We start from the raw sequence: 10,203 nt of genomic DNA on the forward strand, positions 1-10,203 counted from the left end.
CACAAGGTCAGGAGTTCAAGACCAGCCTGGCCAACATGGTGAAACCCCGTCTCTACTAAAAGTACAAAAATTAGCTGGCCATGGTGGCATGTGCCTGTAGTCCCAGCTACTCTGGAGGCTGAGGCAGAAGAATTGCTTGAACCCGGGAGGCAGAGGTTGCAGTGAGCAGAGATTGTGCCACTGCATTCCAGCCTGGGTGACAGAGCAAAACTCCATCTCAAAAAAAAAAAAAAAAAGAGAGAGAAGAGGCAGCTCCTCCGAGATGGGTCAGAGCTCTATGGGGAGCCCCAGGTGGGCATCTAGATGGTGAAGAGCCCAAAGACTCTAGAAGTGGGTTCTCGGGACTTGCGCATGCGTACATGTGTTTATATGTGTATACATGTGTTTATATGTTTGTGCATGGGTGTTGTGTCCATGTGTTTATATGTGTGTGCATGTGTTTGTATGAATCAATGTGTACTGTATGCATGTGTGTTTGTGTGTGCGTATGTAGGTTTGTATGTGTGGGAGATGTATTTGTGTATGTAGATGGGATGTGTGTGTCAATGTGTATATGTGTACATGTAGTGTACTTGTATTCATTGTCTATTACTTTTTTTAAAAATCCAGTTTTAGCAAAGAATATCTATGGCTTATTGCTACATGACAAATTACCCCAAAGCTTAGTCGCTTAAACTATAAACATCTATTTCACAGTTTCTGTGGACTGGGAATCTGAGAGAGGCTTAGCTGGGTATTTTTGGTTCAGGGTCTCTCTTGAAGTTGCAGTGAAGATGTTACTCAGGGTTGGCTGTAGTCTTCTGAAGGCTTGCGTGGGGCTAGAGGATCCACTTTCAAGATGACTCACCCTCCTGGCAAGACGATGCTGGCTGTTGGCAGGAGGTCTCAGTTCCCTACCACATCAGCCTCTCCATATGGCTGCTTGAGTGCCTCATGACACAGCAGCTGGCTTCCTCTGGAGTGAGTGACCTGAGAGAGAGAGAGAACCAGGCAAAAGCCACAGTGTTTTTAAAACCTAGCTTTGGAAGTCCCATGCCATCATTTCTGCCATATTATACTGGCCACAGAGACCAACCCTGATACACTGTGGGAGGGACTACACAAAGGCATGAATTCCAAGAGGTAAGGATCACTGGAGGTCATCTTGTAGGATGGCTATCACATGCAGTATGTGCGTGTGGGTATGTGGGGTGTGTGTTTGTGGGTGTGTACATAAAGATGTGTGTGTTTGTGTATATATGTGTATGTTTTTGCATATGTATATATGGATATATAGCAATATGTTTGTGTGACATGTATCTATGTATTGTCTGCATATGTGTATGCATGCATTTATGTATATGTATCTGTGTATTGCACATGTGTGTTTTTTGCGCACGAGTATGCATGCATGTATTATGCCTACATGCATGTCTCTGTGTTTGTATGTTGTGCATGTGTGCATATATGTGTATGCCTTTTTGTATGTATTTGTAGTATGTGAATGAGCATATGTATGCATGTGTGATGGGTTTGTATATGTATCCAGGTGTATATGTGTGTCTATGCCTGTGGCTGTATATGTTTGCAAACATTGTATGTGCATGTGCACCTGTGTTGTGTGTGTGCATGTATGCTTACATGTGTGTGTTTCTGTATAGATGTCCATGTGTAAGTCCGCATGTGTCTGTTTATGTGTGTGTAGGTGTATATATGTTACGTTTATGTATGTGTGTGAGGTGTATGTGTGTAGGTTTGAGAATATGTGTGTGCATTACTATGTACATATTGCACTTGTATATATAAATGTGTGCTGGCACATGCATACAAACTTAGGAATGTCACCTGCTGTGGGAGGAAAGCCTGGAGTCAGGAGTGGGGAGACTCAGGGAGGAGTCCCTATTATTCCTGGGGTAGCCCATGAGTGGAAGGCTCTGGAGCCTGGAGAGCAGGCTCTCCCTTGCATTTAGGATATGTGGATCCATGGTCCTCTGCATCTGGCTTTCCTTTGTCAAGGCTTTCTGTTGTTGTTCATTTTTGTTTGAACATTTCAGTCTTTCCTAAGCTGTCAAATAAAGCAGCAGAGAAAGGGTGGTCTCTATTGCCTGGAAGTTGAGAGTTCAGTGTAGACTAGTGCCCCTTTGGGGCTGGCCTGGGGAAAACAAGGGGATTTCCCTGGAGAGCACGGCTGACCCTCCCTCTCATCTCTTCTCGCCTAGGGCCACTCTGGGAGCTTCTGGAGTTTATTGGGCAAGAAGGGAGGGCATTTCTTTACTTCTAATAATCCAGTCATCTTAGGAGCCACTCTTTTCCTCTTTCCATTTAGAATATTTCTGACACCAACTTTTGTGTTTAGAAGCTTTTATGCTTTTTTTTAAAAAAAGTATTTTTACCTTTTGATTATGAAAGGTAATACATATGAACAGAAGTAGACAGAATGTAAAGATACAGCTCAACAGATTTTCAGAGTGAATAGCCATTTATACTATCCAATAAGAGGGTTCAGGACATGCCACCCAGAAACATGGCACACTGGCATGTTGAATATTTTAAGCTGGAAGGATCTGAGAAACAGCATGTGCAGGACAATCTCTCTGACTTCCCTGATCCTTCTCTCCTGAAGGGATCTCCCTGATCCTTTCCCCATGTGAAAGGTGTCCTTCCTCCAAAGATGGGGACACAGACAGGAATCTGAACACATGGGCCTTGTTAAGTCTTTTGGGTAAATAAAATTAGTTTTAAGATTGTTGGCAGGCTGGGCGCAGTGGCTCACACCCCTAATCCCAGTGCTTTGGGAGGCTGAGACAGGAGCATTACTTGCGCCCAGGAGTTTGAAACCAGCTTGGACAACATACTGAGACTTGGTCTTTACAAAAAGTTTAAAAAGTAGGCCGGGCTTAGGGGCTCACGCCTGTAATCCCCGCACTTTGGGAGGCCGAGGTGGGTGGATCACTTGAGGTCAGGAGTTCAAGATAAGCCTGGCCAACATGGTGAAACCCCGCCTCTACTAAAAATACAAAAAATTAGACTGGCGTGGTGGCAGGCGCCTGTAATCCCAGCTAGTTGGGAGGCTGAGGCAGGTGAATCCCTTGAGCTTAGAAGTTCAAGGCTGCAGTGAGCTGTGTTCACACCACTGCAATCCAGTCTGGGCAGCAGAGTGAGACCTTGTTTATATAGATTAAAAAAAAAAAAAGCCAGGTACAGTGGCTCACGCCTGTAATCCTAGCACTTTGGGAGGCCGAGGCAGGTTGATCACAAGGTCAGGAGTTCAAGACCAGCCTGACCAACATGGTGAAACTCCGCCTCTACTAAAAATACAAAAATTAGCTGGGCGTGGTGGTACACACCTGTAATCCCAGCTACTCAGGAGGCTGAGGCAGGAGAATCACTTGAACTCAGGAGGCGGAGGTTGCAGTAAGCCAAGATGGCTCCATTCCATTGCACTCCAGCCTGGGTGACAGAGCCAGGCTCTGTAAAAAAAAAAAAAAAAAAAAAAAAAAAAAAAAAAAAAAATTGTTGATAAAATAAAAGCAGAAATGTCTTTGGAGTTGTCAGCATTAAATAGAATGCAGAACTACAATTTTATTTTACCTGGGTTTACTGGTCAAACAATGTTATATCAACTAGATGTTTAAGGTTATAAAACTATAAATCTAAACTAAGAATAAAATATACAATAAAAATAAATTGCTTGATGCATATCAAGCATAGCAGTTTTTAAAAAAAGACAGAGAAGAACCATATATTTAAATTTTTAGGTTTTTTGCTTCTGTTATTTTTTTTTAAACAGGGTTTAGCTTTGTTGCCCAGGCTGGAGTACAATGGCATGATTATGGCTCATTGCAGCCTCAACCTCCCAGGCTCGAGCAATTCTTACCACCTCAGCCTCCCAAGTAGCTAAAACTTCAGGAGAATGCCACCATGGACAGACAATTTTTGTATAGATGGGGTTTGGCCATGTTGCCTAAGCTGGTCTCGAACTCCTGGGCTCAAGGGATCTGTCCACTTCGGCATGCCAAAGTGCTGGGATTATAGGCGTAAGCCACCATGCCTGGCCATTTTTTACACTTACCTGATTTGTCAACAAGAAAAATAACTTGAGATGATGGCTAGCTTTGTTTGATGTTACAGTATGTCTGCCTGAATCAGTTTCCAAATCTTATTTGGTAACTTGCAAACTTAAAGTTAGGTTAAATTAAGCAGTAGATATTCATTAAATGTCTGAACCATTTGTAAGTAAGATAAACTACTGAAACATTAACTACTAAGCATAAATTTAAGCGTATATACTTCTGGCATCTTATTTTTATATGATATAGAGAAGCTAAATATATTTGGGTCTACTAATAAGCATGTTCTTTGCCACACTGAAAGACTGTACTATATTAGGAAGCATATGTTCCTGAAATTATAAAATAGTATATTCATAAATTTACTAATCTACTACAAGATGCCGATATATGACAGGCAGTTCACAATTGCCTGCTTCCTAGTTTTCACAGCAAATTAGGGTCACTAAGGGTTAAAACTTATAATAAGTATACATAAATAAAACAATTAGACATCATAGGATGGAGGGAAACAACTTTGTATGCAAAGTATGCAAGGTATGAAGAAATTATTATTATTATTATTATTTGAGACCGAGTCTTGCTCTGTCACCCAAGCTGGAGTGCAGTGGCGCGATATCGGCCCACTGCAAACTCCACCTTCCGGGTTCAAGCGATTCTCCTGCCTCAGCCTCCCTAGTAGCTGGAATTACAGGCACATGCCACCATACCCAGCTAATTTTTGTATTTTTAGTAGAGATGGGGTTTCGCCATGTTGGCCAGTCTGGTCTCCAATTCCTGACCTCAGGTGATCCGCCCGCCTCGGCCTCCCAAAGTGCTGGGATTACAGGCGGGAGCCACTGTGCCTAGCCAGCCGTGGGTTTTTCATAGATGCCTTTATCAGGTTGAGCAAGCTCTTTTCTATTTCTGAATGTTGAATATTTTTATTATGAAAGGGTTTGGGATTGTACCAAATGCTTTTTCTGCATCAATTGAGATCATGTGGGTTTTGCTCTTTATTCTATAATATAATGTATTACATTAATTAATTTTAATATGTTGAAGTAAACCTGCATTCTTGGGATGTCCACTTTATTATAGTACATTACCAGCCTGGCCAACATGGCGAAACCCCATCTCTACTAAAAATACAAAAATTAGCTGGGCGTGGTGGTAGGTGCCTGTAATCACTGCTACTCAGGAGGCTGAGGCAGGAGAATTGCTTGAACCTAGGAGGCAGAGGTTGCTGTGAGCCAAGATTGCGCCACTGCACTCCAGCCTGGGCAACGAGTGAAACTCCATCTCAAAAACAAACAAACAAAAAAAAAACCAAATTGCCACCTTTGTCATAAACCAAGTATCAAATATTCATTTGTCTCTGTTCTATTGGTGAGTTTTATTCTTGAACCAAGAATATACTATCTTAATTTCTGTAGTTTTTATAATAAGCTTTGACAACAAATAAGGCAGTTGTCTTCTTCGATTCTTTTTTAAAAAAAATTTTTAAGATACGGGGTCTCACTATGTTTGTCAGACCGATCTCTAACTCCTGGGATCAAGCAATCATTTCATCTCAGCCTCCCAAGTAGACAGGACTACAGGCACGCACCACTACACCCAGCTCAAATCTTGGCTATAAAAAAGTATCAGCTTGTCAACTCCCACACAAAAAGAAGAAAAGCAAGGAGGAGGAGAGAAACTGTCGGTATTTTTATTAGAATTGCACTGAATCTATGTATCAATTTGGAGGATAACATATTTTACAATATTGAGTTTCACATCATGAATAAGAGATATCTTCCAAATCATTTGGACCTTCTTACATAAAATTTTCTCTATAGAGGCCGGGTGTGGTGGTTCACATCTGTAATCCCAGCACTTCGTGAGGCTAAGGCGGGCGGATCACCTGAGGTCAGGAGTTCAAGACCAGCCTGACCAACGTGGTGAAATCCCATCTCTACTAAAAATACAAAATTAGCTGGGCATGGTGGCACATGCCTGTAATCCCAGCTATTTGGGAGGCTGAGGCAGGAGAATCACTTGAACCTGGGAGGCGAGGGTTGCAGTGAGCCAAGATCACACCATTGCACTCCAGCCTGGGTGACAGAGCAAGACTCTGTCTCAAAAAACACACACACACACACACACACACACACACACACACACACACAAATTTTCTCTGTAGAGATCTTGCATAACTTTATTGACAGATACTTGATTTTTATGCTTGTAGAAGTAAACCTTTTAAAAATTTCGTTTTCTACCCATTTTTTATTGGTATGTAGAAATAAAATTGATATTTGTATGTTGATTTTTCAGCCAGCTGTATTGATAAACTCTCTCATTACGGCCGGGTGCAGTGGCTTACACCTGTAATCCCAGCACTTTTGGAGGCCGAGGCAGGCCGATCACGAGGCCAGGAGATCAAGACCATCCTGGCCAGCATGGTGAAACCCTGTCTCTACTAAAAGTACAAAAATTACCTGGGTGTGGTGGTGTGCACCTGTAGTCCCAGCTACTCGGGAGACTGAGGCAGGAGAATGGCTTGAACCTTGGAGGCAGAGGTTGAAGTGAACCAAGATCACACCACTGCACTCCAGCCTGGGTGACAGAGCGAGTCTCGGTCTCAAAAATAAATAAATAAATAACTTATTAATTCAAATAGTATAACTTTTGGATTTTCTACATAACAAATAATATAAAAAGAAAGTTTTATTCCTCCCTTTCCACCTTTCTTTCATTCCTTTTCTTGTTTTAGTACATAGCTAAAGACCTAGAGTAAAATGCTGAATCGTAATAGAATAGCAGACATCCTTATCTAAAAATCTCAGAAGAATTCTAACTTAGTTTCAGTTTTCCCAGAAGCAGACCCGGAGACAAGGATCTGTGTACAGGAATTTACTGGGAGGTGAAGGAAAACATTGGTTGGGGAGTGGGAAAGGGAGACAAGGAAGGGAAGGTGGCCAATAGAGGCATGTGTTATCAGGCTTATCTCTGGAGCAGAATTCTGCTGGGGGGACTCTGGGAGCCAGTGTAAACTACATGCCTCAGAGTTCTCTCACCCCAGATGGGAGGGAGCTGTGGTATTCAGACACAGAGTCTTGCCAGTTATTGTTTAGAGCTGCTGTGGGATGGAGCTTGAATTCCCCAGCACTTCCAACTGCCATGGGAGTGGAAAACTGTAGTCAAGCAGCAAAGAAAGCCCTCAGGCAAGAAGTGCAGATGCTGGCAGCTGAAAACGGTAGTGTGTACACTGAAATGGTAAAAGTGACGGATACAGGTAAGTTGCCAACAGTGTCTTCTACAAACCCCTTCAACATTTTACTGCATTAACAAGTAACATTTGCAGTCCCCATAGGATAACGGCAGCTGCATAAGTCCAGCCTTTCTAGACACGCTCCTAAAATCATTTTGTCAATGAAGAGAGAAAGAAGGGGAAGAATACACATAATTGCTGAGCATGGTGGCTCACACCTGTAATACCAGGCCAAGGTGGGGGGAATTGGTTGAGTCCAGGAGTTCAAGACCAGTCTGGGCAACATAGTGAGACCGTGTCTCTACTAAAAATTAAAAAAAATTAGCTGGGTGTGGGGGCGCATGCCTGTAGTCCCAGCTGCTCAGGGGGACTGAGGCAGGAGGATCACTTGAGCCTGGGAAGTTGAGGCCGCAGTGAGCCAAGATTGCATCACTGCACTCCAGCCTGGGCAACAGACCAAGACACTGTCTCAAAACAAACAAACAACACACACACACACACACACACACACACAATCCATGCTTACAGCATAATTAGGAGACAGAAAACACCACAAACTATGATGGTAAAATGTTGCCACCTGGCCACTGTTACTCTGAAGTCCTACTATCACCATTAACATCAGGGAGCTCAGTTCTCTGGTAGCATTCCCTACTGTGAACCCTGGCCTACAAAGGACAGCCACCACTCAGTCAAAGTCTAGTAACTGTCATACTACAGCATGCAGGGTTTACCACCACCACACTTAGCATTAACAAACAAATAAGAATCCTGGTACTTAGAAAATACACAGAATAGACTAAGTTAAGGAAAAAGGAGAATGGACAAATACAAGAGAAAGAAGGAGGAGGAGGAGGAAAAAAAAAGGAGAAAGAGGAAGAGAAGATAAAAGGGGCTGGGCGTGGTGGCTCACGCCTATAATCCCAGCACTTTGGGAGGCTGAGGTGGGCAGATCACCTGAGGTCAGGAGTTTGAGACCAGCCTGGCAAACATGATGAAACCCCGCCTCTACTAAAATACAAAAAAAAAAAGCTGGGCGTGGTGACACGCACCTGTAATCCCCACTACTCAGGAGGCTGAGGCAGGAGAATGGCTTGAACCCAGGAGGCAGAAGTTGCAGTGAGCCGAGATGGCGTCACTGCACTCCAGCCTGGGTGACAGAATGAGAGTCTGTCTCAGAAGAAAAAAGGAAAAGAAGAAAAGAAAATTCTAAAAAAGGTAAACTAATCTATAGTGACAGAAAGCAGATCAATGGTTGCTTGGACGTCAGGAGTGGAGAGAGAGATTGATTGCAAAGGGGTACAAGAGGATGATGGAAAGGTTCTGTATCTTGATTGTGGTGGTGGTTTCCCAGGTGTATATGGTATATCTGTCAAAATTCATAGAATTTTACACTTTAAGTGTATAATTTATTATATGGAAATAATACCCCAATTTTTTTTTTTTTTGAGATGGAGTTTCGCTTTTGTTGCCCAGGCTGCAGTGCAATGGCACAATCTTGTCTCACCACAACCTCTGCCTCCCGGGTTCAAGTGATTCTTCTGCCTCAGCCTCCCGAGTAGCTGGGATTACAGGCATGTGCCACCATGCCCGGCTAATTTTGTATTTTTAGTAGAGACAGGGTTCCTCCATGTTGGTCAGGCTGGTCTCAAACTCCGAACCTCAGGTGACACGCCCACCCCGGCCTCCCAAAGTGCTGGGATTACAGGCATGAGCCACTGCACCCAGCCTTCATGTATAACTTTTAACTCCCTGTAAACTTAATTACTGTTGACCAGAAGCTTTACTGATGACATAAACAGATTACCACATATGAAGTATATTCTATGTATTACACACTGTATTCTTACAATAAAATAAGCTAGAGAAAAGAAAATGTTATGCCTGTAATCCCAGTACTTTGGGATGCTGAGGCAGGAGGAATGCTTAGGCCAGGAGTTTAAGACCATCCTGGGAAATGTAGTGAGACCCTGTCTCTTTAAAAAATTAAAAAATTAGCTGGGTATGGTGGTGGGCACCTGTAGTCCCAGCTATTCAGGAGGCTGAGTGGGAGGATCGCTTGAACCTGGGAGGTGAAGGTTGCACTAAGCCAAGATCTTGCTACTGCACTCTAGCCTGGGCAACAGAGCAAGACACTGTCTGAAAAAAAAAAAAAAGGTGGGGGGGGGAGAGAATGTATTTACTATTCATTAAGTGGAAGTGGATCATCATAAAGTCTTCATCTTTGTCGTCTTCATGTTGAGTAGGCCAAGGAGGAGGAAGAGAAGGGTTGGTTGGGGCAACAGTGGGAGAAGAGGCGGAGGAGGTAGAATAGGGGGTAGCAGGGGTGGGGGTTCAGGAGAGCCAGGCATACTTGGTATAACTTTTTTTTTTTTCCAAGACGGAGTCTTGCTCTGTTGCCCAGGCTGGAGTGCAGTGGTGCGATCTCCGCTCACTGCAACCCCCGCCTCCCAGGTTCAAGCAGTTCTGTTGCCTCAGCCTCCCAAGTAGCTGGGATTACAGGCGCCCACCACCACAACCTGCTAAATTTTGTATTTTTAGTAGAGATGGGGTTTCACCATGTTGGCCAGGCTGGTCTCGAATTCCTGACCTCATGATCCGCCCACCTCAGCCTCCCAAAGTGCTGGGATTACAGGTGTGAGCCACCGCACCTGGCCGGTATAACTTTTATTGGGACAAATCCACATGTAAGTGGATGAATTTGAACTGCACAGGTCCATTTATATGTGGATTTTCTTCCACCTCTGGGGTAACATTTCTATCACCCTCTTAAAAGTTTTCTTGCACCCTTTTGCAACCAAACTCTCTCTCAATCCTTGACATTCAAGCAACCACTGGTCTGCTGTCACTATAGTTCAGCTGGCATTTTCTAGAATTTATCCCATGGGAAAAACCAAGGCAAATGTACAATGATATATG

At 43.4% G+C, this 10,203-nt stretch overlaps 1 long non-coding RNA gene across 1 annotated transcript, besides 1 other annotated feature; it reads right to left on the reverse strand.

Moving 5' to 3' along the window:
• On the reverse strand, positions 663-8,213 carry LOC105373883 (uncharacterized). Its single transcript, XR_923917.3, has 2 exons — positions 6,512-8,213; positions 663-969 (listed from the first exon to the last, which is right to left on the reverse strand). It is a non-coding gene; the product is annotated as an uncharacterized LOC105373883 (long non-coding RNA).
• Positions 724-773: an enhancer, noted in NCBI's record as "active region_17151". NCBI's record gives its function as "activates an Ori minimal core promoter by ATAC-STARR-seq in GM12878 lymphoblastoid cells {active_cell/tissue: GM12878}" and the evidence as "EXISTENCE:reporter gene assay evidence [ECO:0000049][PMID:35858748]".
• Positions 8,214-10,203: the final 1,990 nt, after the last annotated feature.

This window comes from Homo sapiens, chromosome 2 (assembly GCF_000001405.40).
Source record: "Homo sapiens chromosome 2, GRCh38.p14 Primary Assembly".
NCBI classification, from domain to species: Eukaryota; Metazoa; Chordata; class Mammalia; order Primates; family Hominidae; genus Homo; species Homo sapiens.